Consider the following 15,751-nt stretch of genomic DNA (forward strand, 5'->3'; position numbering starts at 1 on the left):
TGAACCACCACACCTAGATTTTTTTGTATGTATTTTTAGTAGAGATGGGGGTTTGCTATGTTGGCCAGGCTGGTCTTGAACTTTCAGCCTCAAGTGATCCGCCCACCTTGGCCTCCCAAAGTACTGGAATTACATGTGTGAGCCATTATGCCTGGCCTAATTATTATAAGATTATTGTAATGAAGATAGTGTAATATAGGTGCTAAGGTCAACAGTAGGTTAATGGAATAGAATTAAACAACTCAGAAATAGGCTCAACATATAGACAACTGATTTTTGACAAAGGCACATGGCAATGTAGTGGAGAAAGAATAGTCTTTTCTCTCTGAAACAATTTTATATCCATATACAAACTTTTAAAAAACTCAATCCATACCTCACACCATATACAAAAATTAGCTGCAAATGAATCATAGACTTGAATGTAGAATTCAAACCAATATAACCTCTAGAGAAAACATAACATAGGAGAAAATGTTTGTGACCTTGGGTTAGGTAAGATTTCTTAGAAACAACATTAAAAGCACAATACATAAAAGAAGAAATTGACCAATTAGATGTCATCAAAATTTAAAACCTTTTCTTTTTGAAAAGTACTTTAAGAGAATGAAAAGACAAGCTACAGACTGGGAGAAAATATTTGCAAATTACATATCTGACAGAGGACTTGTTTCTACAACATATTTTTTAAAACTCTCAAAACACAATAATACAAAGTAAAAAAGCTAATTAAAAATAGGCAAAAGATCATCATTCTCAGTAAACTATCGCAAGAACAAAAAACCAAACACCGCATATTCTCACTCATAGGTGGGAATTGAACAATGAGATCACATGGACACAGGAAGGGGAATATCACACTCTGGGGACTGTGGTGGGGTGGGGGGAGGGGGGAGGGATAGCATTGGGAGATATACCTAATGCTAGATGACGAGTTAGTGGGTGCAGCGCACCACCATGGCACATGTATACATATGTAACTAATCTGCACAATGTGCACATGTACCCTAAAACTTAAAGTATATTAAAAAAAATAGATTAAAACAAATATCAAATGAAAAAAAAAATGTGGCCAAATACTGTTATTGTGGAGAAGCCTGAATCTGGCATTAAATTACACCAAGTGGACCTTTGAAAAAAAAAAAAAAAAAAAGATTTGAACTTTCCAAAATAAGACATCACATGAAATGACACTCAATCTCATTAGTCATTAGAGAAATGCAAATTAAAACCACAATCAAATACAACTACACGTCTATTAGAATGACCAAAACTAGAAAGATTAAGCATTCCAAGTGTTGGTGAGGATGTGTAAGTGCATCCACACCAGGATACTATTCAGCAACAAAGAGGACTAAACCACTGATGCGTGCAACAGCATGGATGAATTTCAAAGTAAACATGCTGAGTGAAAGAAGCCAGATCAAAAAAGAATAAATACTATTTGATTTCAGTAATATAAAATTACAGAAAGTACAAACTATAATGACAAAAATCATATCAGTATTTGCCTGTGGTTGGCAGAGTAGAAAGGGTGGGAGTGAGAGGCACATGGGAACATGGAAGCTTGGGGGGCGATGTGTCATGTTCATTATCTTGATCACAGTGATATTTTTATGGGTGTACACATAAATCAAAGCTTTTCAAAAAGGATACTTCAAATATATGTAGCTTATTGTATGTCAATTCTATTAGGTTGGCACAAATTACTTTTGGTGCACAAATAATTGCAGTTTTTGCCATTACTTTAATGCAATTACTTTTGATATAATTACTTTTGCACCATCATAATACCTCAATACAGTAGTTTTTTAAAGAAAAAACTTAGTGCACCTTTCAAGTTAAACAGAAGAATAGGAATAATGGAGTAATAACTAACATCTCCAGAGAATCAGGAGGCACCTGCACTATGCAAAGCATCTGTTTCTCTATCTGTCTGTCTTTATTTTATCCTCATAACAGCCTTATGAAATAGATGCTCTTCTCATCCCCTTTTCACAGAGGAGGAAACTGAGGTTACATAATTTTCCCAATGCCACAAGGCCAGTAAGCTGTAGAGCCAGGGTCTGAACCCTGGCAGTTTGCTCCAGAGCTTGGACTCTAAACCACTGTAGGTGTCGATTAATTTTCATGTTTTGCTGTCATCATTTCCAGGGAAATATTGCCAGAGAAGCTGCATCCGAGGAAGCTTTAACAGCAGTCCAAAGTGGAAATGTTAGTGAACCGGAGGTAGGGTTTGACGAGGGCCTTTGCGTGCCTTCTAGCCACCCCATGGGTTTCACACCTTTCTACCTCAGAGGATTTGTGCCCTTTCCTCCTCCCAATCTCCCTGCCTGTCTCCACCAGTTCACACCTACCACCTCCTTTAGGACTTGCTGCACCAAGCCTCACCTCCTTACCTCTTCCCCTGCTGTGATTAATCTTTTCTTCTGTATCCTCTGCATGGCCTGGACTGTAAGTTGCATTTTCTACATAAATTATTTGCAAAAATTTTAGTAAATACAGCTTATCTCTCCTTCCCATTGCCCAAAAAGAAAACATTTTGGAGAGGCAAAACATTTGTAAGAGTTTTCTCTGTATCATATGCACATACATACACTTCTGTCCGTGTCTAGGTGTGTTATTAATATATGTCATTTACATTCATCTCAGGATTTTGGAAGTCCTCCCTCCTGTTACAAATTCAGGCCAAGGGGCATAGCATCTTCCACCAGTGCAGTGGCTATCCCTGGGGACTTCACCATCCTTTGTTGGTTTCCCTTCACCCCACCCATGCCTTTGCAGGTGGTCCGTTGACCACTCCATTGGAGTGTCCCTTCTGTTCCCTGCCAGAAGCCTGGTGGTTCAGGAAGAGATTGGCAGGGTCCTGTGAACCCTGCTCAGGATCTCAGACTTTTCCTAAGAAGCAGAGGAGGGTGTTGTAGGCTTTTGAGTGGGAGGTTGGTACAATAAAGCATTTTCATTCCCTGATGATGAGCATAGTCCTGGAATTTCAGTAGTTTCCCAAGAGCCTCTTGGTGATGGATGGACTGACTCAGCAACAGAAGCCTAGAGAACCCTTGAGAAGGGAATGGAACATGGGGCTTGGTCATATCCATAGAGGCACTGGGACAGATTCACTGAACACTAAGCCCAGACACTGAAGTTCTGCCAGAGGACCAGGTTCTCCAACCTGTCTCCTCTCCAGATTCTGACCAGTGAAGGAGTCTACCCAGAAGTCAGCTAGGGATTGAAGTACCCCTTTCTCATGGCTAACACTGAACCAGAGAACAAAGCTTGGACCGAGAACACAAATGGGCTTCCCATTTCTCCTTACTGAATTAAGTGCCCCCATGTGGTTGTAGGCAGGCCTCACCTGTGGGGCAGGGTCTCCCCACTCCCAGCTAATTGCATGGAGGGGAGGAGAAAACACACAACCTGGGAGCAGGATGTGCTGTCAGAAAGAGAAAGCACGATGTAGGCACAGGGTCCAGTTTTTGAATCTCACATTAGCATATGCTGTTGGAGCCCCACCCATATCCTCTAGCACGTATTCTTCCTGAGCACTCTGTGAAGACAAGGACTGCAAGTGCCTGGTCTTTCTTCCATGCCATGTTTGCAGCAGGGCAGGCTGTTTGGGGAAGCAGCCATCAGCCAGTGACTGAAGGGATTGGAGAATCAATTTGCCAGCTCCTTCACCTCTTAGGTGGGACCACTCTGCACTGTGTTCTCTAGGCTTTCGGAGATCCAGGTGGGGTTGATTCACCATAGTCACCCACATCTTGAAACACCCCATGCTGGCAGCCTCCCCTTCCTCACCTCGCATGCCACTCCTCTTACAGAATTTCCTGGCTTTGCTCCCCAAGTAAACTACTGACTCTCAGACACTTAATTCAGGGTGTGTTTCTGGGGCAACCCACACTAGGAGACTCACTGACCAGTTGGTCACTCCCTGTGCCCTAGGGAGGAAAGTCAGGGTGTAGAAGAGGACAGCAGTTTTCTCTCTAATATTCCTAAGAGGGTAGCCGTTCCGTTATGAACCCAAGCAAGGATGTGGTTGGAGGGACAGGATGCCTGCCCCCACCACTGCATCAAACATGGTTGGAACCCCAGAAGACACCTGAGTCAACAAGGTGGATTGATCTCCTATTTTTATCTCCTCTCCCTACCGGAGAAAAACACTGAAATGACAGTAAAGGGATAAAAAGGGCACAAATCCACAAAGGTGAGATGGAGAGGAGATATTGGAAGATAAGCACTTTAAAAATATTGAGAATAAAAAAATCAATGGAAGAGTTTACATTGGCTTAGCACAGCTGAGGAAGGTGAAACTCAGGCATCTTTATGGGAGGAGAGACTGGTGAAAAGTGTGTGAATTCTGCACAAGGCTGAAGACTGGAGGTTTGCAGAAGGTGGGGTGAGGAATTGGGCTGAAAAGCTGGGCAGTCTGATGTGGAGTGACTGGAACACTGGATCCCTGCAGACTCCAGTTAGGTTGTCAGCCACACCCCAAGTGAGAGGATAAAATGACTATTCTCTAGAGAAATTGAACAGAGGCTGCTGCTAATTCAGATTTAGCCTGTGCTGCATGGGCGTTGTAACGGTGAGGAATAGAGAACAGACAAGTAAGTGGAATTCTCCACTTCGAACAGAGGAATCCACAGCCCCTCCTCCAGCCACGCCCTCTCAATGCCAGGAGCCAGGCCTTGTATTAAGTTTCTATTGCTGCTGTTACACATTACCCCAAACTTGGTGGCTTATAACAACACAAATTTATTATTGTGCAGTTCTGGAGGTTAGCATTCCAAAATGGGTTTGAGTGTGCTGAGCTTCAGGTGTAGACAGGGGCGTGTTCCTTCTGGAGACTCTAGGGGAGAATCTGTTCCCTTGCCTTTGCCAGCTTCTAGAAGCCACTTGCATTCCATGCCCTGTGTCCCCTTCCTCCATCTTCAGAGCTGGCAGCGCAGCATCTTCCTCCCTCTGACTCAGACCTGCTGCCTCCCTCTTAGCAGATCCCTATGATTCCTCTGGGCCCACCCGGATCATCTAGGAGCATCTCCTCATCATAGAACCCTTCATGTGATGACATCTGCGAAATCCCTGTGCCCTGAAAGATAACATATTTACAGGTTGCAGGGACTAGTACCTGTAACATCTTTGGGGACCACAGTCCTCAATACAGAATATTGGAGAACTTAAGTCCCAAAAAACTGACAGGCCCAAGGAAAATGCCTTCAGATGATGTCACTGAAGGTGGCCACCCAGTAATAATGCCAGATCTCTGCCTGATCACCCCATGAAGTGCCCCAGTTAGCCAGTGTCTGTGGAGTTTTGCCTCTCAAGCATGTTGCTTTTAGGAAGCTAAAAATGTGCTCTAACGATATGAGGGCCTAAATGATGAACAAAAAAGACAAAGAAAAGACCTGGAACTTACAAAATAGGAGCTGCAATACAGGCAGGACGGCAGAGCTGCAAGTCCAGATTAGAGGGGAGAAAAAAGGAAGCTCATATATTATCTCAAACGCCTGATCATTTGGAAAATAATAGTGACCAACACTTGGCAAATCTGATAAAGGAAGTGAAAAACTTAGCAAACCAAGTGAATAAAAACTAAGCACACAGATGAAAACATTGTCATATTACACTACTTTGCTCAGCAACAACAGAACTTACACATTCATATTAGTGTAAATACTTACGGATTTAACCCTGAATTGTGATGTAATTTTCCTGGGGGATAAGATGTGGGGAAGAGGGTAGTATGAGAGGGATTAATCTAGCCACTGCATCAATATTGAATAGGAAATTCTAAAAACTAATGAATTTAGAAACAGCACCATAAGCATATTGTTCAGAAATATAGAGGTAAATATATACCCAAATAAATGAAAACGTTGAAAGTTCTGTTCAATGGGGGTAGAGACTTGGAAGGACAGAGAACTGCTGATTTTCTTAATAAATGTTTGGTGCTAATATTATTTTAAATTTTTCCATATGCATGTATTACTTTGATTTAAAAGAACTCCATGAGGGATCTCAAAGGGAATCATCTTCTGAGTTATGACACCTTTTTAGGTGCACCTAAACCAAGACAGAACAGCCTCAGCCCTGACTTTCCAGGTGGCTGTGGTCCACTGGACCTTCCTGGGCTCCACCTCCCCACGATAGTTACTCCCAGGACCACCTGAGCAGTCCCAAGATTCAAAAATTCTTGTATCACAATGAAAACAGCTTTGGGGACAGAGGGATTTTGCTTCTGGAGTTATTATAATATGTATATAATACTATCACGCTCTAATCTCTACCCTGGGATGCAGTTAAAATATGGACCCTATGTCAAAGGCCAACTGAAACTATTTGTCTTGTGTGAGACCTTCATGTGAGAACTAGTTTTTTTTTTCTTTATTATTATTATTTTTTAAATTTTATTTTACGTTCTGGGATATGTGTGCAGAACGTGCAGGTTTGTTACCTAGGTATACATGTGCCATGGTGGTTTGCGGCACCTATCAACCCGTCATCTAGGTTTTAAGCCCTGCCTGCATTAGGTGTTTGTCTTAATGCTCTCCCTCCCTTTCCCCCCGACCCCCCTGACAGGCCCCAGTGTGTGTTGTTCCCCTCCCTGTGTCCATGTGTTCTCATTGGAGAACTAGTTTTTAAAAACATTTTATGAATTTTGAGTATCTCATTAAGAACCTCTCCTTAAAACCAGGCCTGGCCCAGGATGAGTTGTTTCGGGTGACAGTCACACCTGTCCTCAGAACGGTGTCATGTAGAGATAATGCAGCCACCAGCCCACTAAATTACAGGGCATTGACAGGATTCTCATTGGCTCCTCCTGTCTCCTTGCTCTAGGACATAGAAAAACTCAGTGACATCTCCACTGGATATGCACAGTATCACCATGTCAGCAGTAGGAGCTTGGCATCGCTCGTACTGCCTGAAGAGCCCGTCCACTTCCGCCCCATCTACAGGGGAGCCTCAGCTGCTTTTTGTATTCAGCTGTTTTGTATTGATGAGAAATATGAAGCAAGGCAAGTACTGACCTTCTGGCTGGCTGTCACAGTGAGAATCTTTTCTGGCATTGGTGGCCCAACATTTTAACTTTACAGAGCCAGTAATTTCCAAACCTGGCCCACATCCTAATCTCCTGGGGAATTTTTTAAAACACAAATTCCTAAGCCCCATCCAGAGATTCTAGTCCATCAAATTTTAACAAGGCCTACAGAAGTGGGCTAGAAATCTGGCCTACCTATGTAACAATTGGGAATCTGGAAAATTATCACTTACATAACCACATGCTGCTCCCATTCTGTAAAGTTTGCATCTCTTGGATAATTTGAATTTGGGTTACTGGTTGTCTAGAGTCTTTGGTTGCAAGTAACAGGAAATCCAACCAAACTGGCTTTGAAAAAAAAATTGAATAATTGCCTCACATAACTAAGGATAACTCTGGTGGTGAGACTGTTTTAAATATGGCTTGATCTAGGATTTATTTAGATTACCAAATCAAGGACCAAGTTTCTCTCTCTACCTCTTCACCCTGTGTGTTAGTCTGTTTTCATGCTGGTGATAAAGACATACTCAAGACTGGGTGATTTATAAAGAAAAAGAGGTTTAATGAACTCACAGTTCCACGTGGCTGGGGAGGCCTCACGATCATAGGGGAAGATGAAAGCCATGTCTTACATGGCGGCAGGCAAAGAGACAATGAGAGCCAAGTGAAAGGGGTTTCCCCTTATAAAACCATGAGATTTCATGAGACTTATTCAATACCACAAGAACAGTATGGGGGAACCACCCCCATGATTCAGTTATCTCCCACAGGGTCCCTCCCACAACACGTGGGAATTATGGGAGCTACAATTCAAGATGAGATTTGGGTGGGGACACAGCCAAACCATATCACCCTACTTCCCTGCTGTTGGACCCCTTCTCAGAGGAGTGCCCCATCCTGGGCCTAAGACCACTGACATTCTCAGGTCTCAGGTCTGCATCAGAATCCAGTGAGAAGGACTTGCCGGGATGGGCCCAGCTTTTTCCAGCCAAAGTCTCATGAGGCCTGACAGGACTGTGTGTTCATTCCTGAGCCAACGGCTGTGACAAGCCCATGCCACAAGGAGATGGAGAAGATGGGCTCCATCCCTTAGCTCATGCTCCATGCCAAATCTGCAGCTGGAGTCTCAGCTACATGGAATATCTGAGCAGGGGATAAGTTGACACCCAACAGCAATCCAGGGCTACAGCAAAGAGGAGGCATGCATGGTGCTGGGCTTTGTCTAAAGCCCCGGCGCCCACCAGACCTCACAGCCACCCACCCTGCCCCTCCAGAACACCCACATGTTCAGTGCTTGCTGTTCTCCTGTGGTCTGGACACTGGACGCTGCCCTCAGTGCCTGGATTCCACATCTCCTTAGCACCCACCCCTCATCTGTTCACAGAACCATCTCGAAGAGGAAATAATTGGCCCATTTTGATGGAGTGGAAGGCTCTAGGGTGTCTTTTAGATGAGCAAGAATAGCTGGACAGTTCCTCTTCAGAGGATCTGTTTAAACATGTTCCCAGTCTCCCAGCATCCCCTGTTGTACTTTAACTTTTTTCATCTCGAGTTTTTAGCTTCTATGGAGATCTGGGACATTGAAAAGAAATTCTTTTTATTCTAATTATGTTGTAGACATATAAAACCTTGTAAAGCCTTTCTATATTTGTTGCTTTATATTTCTTTTATCTGTACATTTAAATATGATTGTGCTTAGAGTATACTTTTTGAATTTTGAAACAGGAATTTGATGACCCAGTGTGGTTTGCCTATGAATGTACATCTACAGCTAGTCAGAAAATCTTCAACAGATAAAAGGGAAACAGATCAGAAGCAACCTATAATATTTCCCACCTCTCCTCTTAACTCTTCCAAAACAGAAGGGAAGGATCGGAGGCACAGAATGACCAATTTTGTGTTGGCTTTTCAAATGCACAGAGATTGTTAATTGATGTGAAAGTGCCTTCAGTTCTGCAGAATACTTTATTACTGACATACGAAGCTTGCGACTTATGCACCCCATTAGTGTTCACCTAGACACACATTCTGACTAGTGGTTGGCTAATCGCTGCCCGAGGGGAGGGAGCTGTAAATCTCTGTAAACGTCCACTGATGTTGCATTTGCTTGCAGGGCACTGACAGTGCTTACTGTCTTGTTTACAGGTCGCTGGATTTTATGAATTTTGTTTTCAGTCTTTTTTCTGTAAGTACATGCTGAATTTTGAGAACTGATTTTGTAAGCTTAGAGAACTTATAGAAAAGTAAAATGCCATAAATTTATTATGCTGTGAATGTTGAGGTTTGTGTTCGGAGAATAAGGTCAAATGGCATGTCATGAGCTCATAAAAATACAAAATATTGTCATTTTCAAGAATTTTTAAGTCATGCTATTTTAGCAGTTCTCTTTAAATGCAAAATTTCTGTTACACATAGCTTTACCAGTGTTTTATCAGAATCAAATCATTCATAGTAATACATGAAAATGTTGGAAATTAAAGTGAATGACACTGTTATTTTATAGATTATGTTGGCTCCAAGTATTCTGAAACCATCATATTGCTTTTCTGAGGGTAGCAAAGTAGGGACTTGTTGATTTTGAGGTTGGCATTTCTTTCCCTACTAGTTCCTCAGGCCTGACTTCATGCCTGGCTGGTAGAGGGGGCTCAACCCACATTGATGAATGGGCCTGCAGGCTAATATCCAAGTACAAATAAGATTCTCCATGCCAGGGTGTCCCGGGCTTCTGCCTACATTCTTGTCTCATTATTTTCTAGGGATGAAGATCTAACCAAACTCTTACACTTCTTTATTGAAGGAAAGAAAATGAGGAAGGAAGTTTTGAGGGACAAAATGCATTTTTATAAAGACAGGCCTGTTAATTAAGTAAAGTCAACAACTGTACTTCTCCAGTTGACTGATTTCAAGAAAAGTATCTATTGCTTTACTTTTCCTGGATACTGTTTCTAATGAGGCAAAAACAAGTATAGTTTAATTATTTTGTCTTACAACTATGTGATGTTAGGTTTTATTTCCTCATTTGTTATTATAATGAAGCTTTATAATAAGGCAATATGTTCTCCATCATAATTTTTAAAAATTACTTATTAAGGCACTTTCCAAACAATGTAGATTACCCTGAACATAGGATTTACAAAGTCGGTTTCCCTCAAAAACTCCTCAAATAAATTTCACTAATTTTAATTATTTTCTACTTTAACGTCCATGTAAACGTAAATATTTAACATTATAAAAGTAATGCTGGCTTTAAAAAGGTAAAAGAGCTGTTTACATTTCAATTCTATTTGACTTCGGAACATGGACGACAGGAAAAAAAATAACCTTGGTTGCTTCATCCTTAATCCTTCAAATCCAAGATGAAGCAACTCATTATAGTTAGTCTCTCCCTCCCAGAGGAAGCCCACCCAGACTTGGCACCCAGTCCTTATTTTCAACTTGAGTATTTCAGCAACTTGACTCTCAGGTTCCCCAAAAGGAGTCCTACTAATTTGCTAAAAAGAAGGAAGGTAAGGTCAGACAATGGTTCACTCCTTTGAGTTGCACAAATGTCCCCAGGGTTTTGGATTAGCACAAGTAATGCCTTCACAGGGTTCAAGAGGAGGCGAGATCCCAAAGGGACAAATTAGCTTCGGGAAGAGCAGGCTGCTTCTGCAGGGACCTGGCAGAGGATCAGGCAGCTGCGTGAAGCTCAGATAGCCTAGAGCAGCACTGTCCAGACATGGAGTGTGAGCCACATTGGTAATTCTGAATGTTCCAAGAGCCACAAGGAAAAAAAAGAAAAAGGAACAGATGAAGTTTATATGATAATATCTTTTATTTAACTTAATATGCCCAATCCTTTTTTTAAAGAGATAGGGTCTCACTTTGTTGCATGCAATGTCACAATCATAGCTCACTGCTGCCTCAAACTCCTTGGCCCAAGGGATCTTCCTGCCTCAGCCTCCCAAATAGCTGGGACATGCCACCATGCCCAGCTAATTAAAAAAAAAATTGTAGAAATGGGGTCTTGTCATCTTGCCCAGGCTGGGCTCGAACTCCTGGGCTCAAGTGATCCTCCCATCTCGGCCTCCCAAAGTACTGGGATTACAGAAGTGAGAACTGTGCCTGGGCAAATTTAATCATTTCAACATATAATCAATATGAAAACTTATTAATGAGCTATTTACAATCTTTTTCTCGTACTGAGTCTTTGAAATCTAATATATATTTCACATTTATAGTACATCACAATACAAGTACTAAATTTTCATCAGAAATAGTTCATCTGTATTTGTATGTTATAAAATTTACAGTTGGATACGTAGATTCACATAATCCAAGCACACATAAAACTTTTCCAGTAATGGAATTAAGTATCCATTTTTTTAATTTAAATGAATTTAAATGAAATAAAATTTAAAATTTAGTTCCTCCGCCAATACTAGCCACATTTCATTGTCTACTGTACTGACAGGGCAGGCCTAGAATAGAATGAATGGCAGCCCTCAGGACATGCAAGACCTCTTATGTCTGCTAACTAAACCCACTGCCTGGGTTTAATCATGCTCATGGATCTGTTCACCCAACTGGGATCACGTCATGATAAAATACGTACACATTGGTTTATGGATAATCACAGAATTTTAGAGCCAAAAAATGCCTGAAGTATCATCCTCCCATCTCGCAAGAGGAAGGGACCACTGGTGTAAGGTCACTTAGTAAGCAAGGGGCCTTTGCTAGGACACCATGCTACCTCATTGACTTGGTGACACAAGTGAACTTACCTGTATGAATTGTCTTGGTTTAAAAACTACTTCCACAGAAGAGTTATGCTGAATGACTGCCATTGTTTATAAGATTCATTTATTCAGGTTTCAGTGAGAAACAAAGATACCTTTTCCCTGCTCTTGTAGTTGCTTATTTCCTGAATTTTATGTGATTATTTTCCAAATTATAGGAAAGGTAATTTGAATATCCTCTCCTTAATCAACACATTTTGCTTCTATTTTTCTTGGTGTTTTTTAGAGGAATTTGTTTTTTGATTAATTTTTTTTATTCTTTCTCTGTGTCCTGGTTTTTGATGATGTTAGGATAAGAACTTCTGTGTAATTTCTCTGCCCCATCTCACCCCCGAGTTCTTCCTCATCCAGAACTTCGTGAAAATGGTCCCTTTCAACACCTGCACCCTCGAGCAGGACCTCTACGTCTTCCACCGGGCTGGATTGCTCAAGTGAGTAGACACATGTTTGGCCACACAACAATCCATGAAATTACAGAAGAGAAGGGAACAAGGAACTCCCTGCTATTATAATTTAATAATTTATTTTAAATATCATCTTTTATTAGAAGAGGTCTTGAGTAAGTGATTTTAACTAATACATTTAGAGAAAGAATGGCACTTGAGAAGAGATTTGTCCTGTCAGATATTAAAACATAATATAGCTCCACAATAATCAAGACAATGCCATGTTGACAGATTCTGTAGGCAGAACAATGTAACACAAGAAACAGATCCAGTATAGTAGGAACTCAGATTGTGCAGATCTTTGTATGTGAGTGTGTGTATATAATACATTCACGACAAAGTGTGTGTCACAACAGTGGGAAAAGGAAGGATTCTTCTGTAAATCATGAGACAAAATGGAGGTAGAAACTTTTTTTATACTCTATCATAAAATAGATTCTCAGGTGATTAAAGAGTTAAATGTAAGTATTGAAAACATAAAAATTAGAAAATATATTTACAGTGCTAAGTTCTGTGCCAAGTTCTGGGAACACAATGGTGAACAACATGTAGACATGGTCCCTGCCTTTTCAAGGCTTATGGACACACAGAGTGTAAAACTGCAACTGTGATGGGAGTAACCAGTCCTGGGCATGTGGTACTGAGCATGGAACATTGGGAGAGTTGGCCCAGCCAGAGGAAGCTTTCTTGAGAAAGTAATACGGAGTGCTGGATGAGGAAAGTGAGTGAAGATTGACCTTTATCCTGTCTCAGAATGGGAAAGTTCTTTTTAAAACATGAAAGAAAAAGATTAAGGTGTCTTATACTATACCAAGTTTTTTGAACCACCTGATTTTATTAAAATGTAACTGACCAACAGAAGGATGTTTTAAACAAATATGGCAGACAAAAGGTGGATGTATTTAATATATAAAGAGCTTTAATGAATCAATAAAAAAAATCACTTAATACCTAAATAGAAAAATTAATAAAAGGCATGACCAGACTGTTTCTACAGGAAAAAACAAAAAACAAAAATCAGTGTATATTTAATACCTTCTATCTTATTTTTACAAAATGTTCTGAGGCTCATCAAACTGCACCCTTGAAATGAGTGCATTTCATTGTATGTAAATTAGACCTCAATAAAGTTGATGCACAATCTTCTGATGAAAAGTTTGGTGGAGGAGTGTCAGAGAGCTCACTCTATAATTGCTGTGTTAACCTTTTGAGTGAAACTTTGAGAAACATCCTAGATGTTCACTTCATAATTAGGGACTGGTTAAATGAATTTTAGCAAATGAATTTAGTACATTATGATGACGACTTGAAGAAATAAAACCAGATTTCTATATCCTATGTGGAAAGATAGCTAGGATGGTGAGAAAAGCAGTCAAACAATAATAGTACAAGTACTAATAGTAAGGATAATTAACATTTATTGAGGGTTTATAGTGTGCCAGGCGCTTTCTTAATAATCACTTTCCATGTGTCAACACTCACAGTGACCTAATTAGTTAGGTATCATTATTATCCTCATTTCACAGGTAAGAAAACTGAGACACAGAGAGGTTGAGTAACTAGTCCACAGTCCACACAGCAGAAAGTGGCAGAACTGAAATCGGAACCCAGGCTGTTAGCTTACAGAGCCAACTCATGACCACCCCACATATTGTTTCTCGACATGGTGTGGTCAGTGTAATCCCATTTGATTGTTGTGAAGTGTTCACAGGTAGCAGTCAGCACTAATACTAAACTGTTGTATCAGAGTGACCCCTAAACACAACTGCCTTGAGCCAGTTCTGTCTCTGTCCTGCAGTAGTCCAGACAAGAGCACGTGGTCTAAGGAGAATACCAGCTTTTTCTCCATGAAGTTGTCCAGGAACCGAAGTTCCTTCTCTTATTGCCCCTCCATTCCATAGAGCAAGGGTTACCTAACATATCCAGAGAGAAGCATGAGGTGTGTGAATTTGGATGGAAAGGAAAGCTACATCTTTATTCCACTAACCTGTAAGTGAAGTTTAATGTGTCCTTCCATTGTGACTGGAGCTAGCAGGTCTCATAGTGTTAGCAGAAACCATGACTTCATAGCCAGTAGAAATGACAGATATTTTCGTTCATGTTTTTGTTGTTGCCGATGTCTCAAAAATATCACATAATATTTACCCTACTTTGAAATTTCAGTAATTTTATTCTTGACCATAATTTATTATGTAATGCATTAACAAAGAGGCACAGGCATTACTGTAACACATTTTTAAAAACATTTTGCTAACTGTGTTTCAATATAATTTATAATCCTTTGTGTTTTATTTAATGAATGTAGAAACATTTGTCTGGGAAGGAGTTCATAGCATCACCAGAGTGTCAAAGGGCTCTGTGGCATGCAAGAGTTTCAGACCCACGGCCAGAGTGGACTTTTCTTCCTTGTGCTCAGAGCTAGCTCGGAGCACCGTAGCCACATTGCAGCCCACAGGGAAGGGTGGAATGAGAAATGGAAGAGGGGAAGCACTTTCCTCTTAGGGGACATGAATCACCTCTGTTCATATTATGTGATCAGGAACTTGGTTGCATGGCCCTACTTAGCTGCAAGGGAGCCTGGAAGATATGTTGCTGGTAGGTTGGGCATGTGTCCAGTAAAAAACTCAGTTGATTCCTTAATTAAAAAGAAGAGGAAAAAGGATACTATGGGAACATTATATCTAGTTTTTATCTTGTGTATGTATAGAAGTTCTAAAAAGTTACACAGGATTTCAGTAACCTTATATGCCTCTGGGAAACAGGACTGGGAATTGTAGGTGAAGATGGTGACTGACTTTGCATTATGTCTATCTGTTATGTTTGATTTTTTTGTTTTAATTAATAAACTTTTTTTTTTTTGAGACGGCATCTCACTCTGTTGCCCAGGCTGGAATGCAATGGCACAATCATGGCTCGCTGGAGCCTCAACCTCCCAAGCTCAGGTGATCCTCCCATCTCAGCCTCCCAAGTAGCTGGGACTACAGGCATATGCCACAACACCTGGCTAATTTTTGTATTTTTTTGTACAGACAGGGTTTCATCATGTTGCCCAGGCTTATCTTGAACTCTCCTGGGCTCAAGCAGTTCACCCACCTTGGCCTCCCAGTGTTGCAATTACAGGTGTGAGGCACCACACCTGGCCAATAAACTTTTTTTCCAAAAAGTAGTTTTAGGTTTACAGCAAAATTGAGCAGAAAGTGCAGAGAGTTCTCACAAGCCCCTTCTCCACCACCATACACAGACTCTCGCATCATGAACATCCAGCACTAGATTGGAACATTTGTTGTAATCAGTGAACCACCACTGACATATCATTATCACCCAATGTCCATAGTTCACATTAGGGTTCGCTGTTGGTGTTGTACATCCTATGGCTTTGGACAAACGTATAATGACATGTATCCACTGTTATGATAGCACACAGAATAGTTTTACTCTGCTGAACATCCTCTGTGCTCTGTCTGTTCGTCCCTCGTTTCCCACAACACTGT

At 40.9% G+C, this 15,751-nt stretch overlaps 1 protein-coding gene across 2 annotated transcripts in view, besides 1 other annotated feature; it reads left to right on the plus strand.

The window, feature by feature from the left end:
* The window catches only part of CFAP61 (cilia and flagella associated protein 61), a 308,167-nt gene that overhangs the window by 104,684 nt on the left and 187,732 nt on the right, over nucleotides 1–15,751 (plus strand). Inside the window, exons 9-13 of one of the 2 annotated variants that reach the window (NM_001167816.1) lie at nucleotides 2,155–2,229; nucleotides 6,835–7,013; nucleotides 9,182–9,221; nucleotides 12,106–12,245; nucleotides 14,566–15,118. In NM_001167816.1, coding sequence (NP_001161288.1) covers nucleotides 2,155–2,229; nucleotides 6,835–7,013; nucleotides 9,182–9,221; nucleotides 12,106–12,245; nucleotides 14,566–14,593 — 462 coding nt within the window. In that variant the 3' untranslated portion in view covers nucleotides 14,594–15,118. Of the gene's footprint in view, nucleotides 1–2,154; nucleotides 2,230–6,834; nucleotides 7,014–9,181; nucleotides 9,222–12,105; nucleotides 12,246–14,565; nucleotides 15,119–15,751 lie in introns of those variants that run through there. The other variant, NM_015585.4, reaches the window with a different exon arrangement.
* Nucleotides 8,184–8,349: a silencer, noted in NCBI's record as "fragment chr20:20146043-20146208 (GRCh37/hg19 assembly coordinates)". NCBI's record gives its function as "represses an EF-1alpha promoter that drives an FKBP-Casp9 reporter gene in an ReSE screen in HepG2 liver carcinoma cells {active_cell/tissue: HepG2}" and the evidence as "EXISTENCE:reporter gene assay evidence [ECO:0000049][PMID:32094911]".

This window comes from Homo sapiens, chromosome 20 (assembly GCF_000001405.40).
Source record: "Homo sapiens chromosome 20, GRCh38.p14 Primary Assembly".
Classification (NCBI taxonomy): domain Eukaryota; kingdom Metazoa; phylum Chordata; class Mammalia; order Primates; family Hominidae; genus Homo; species Homo sapiens.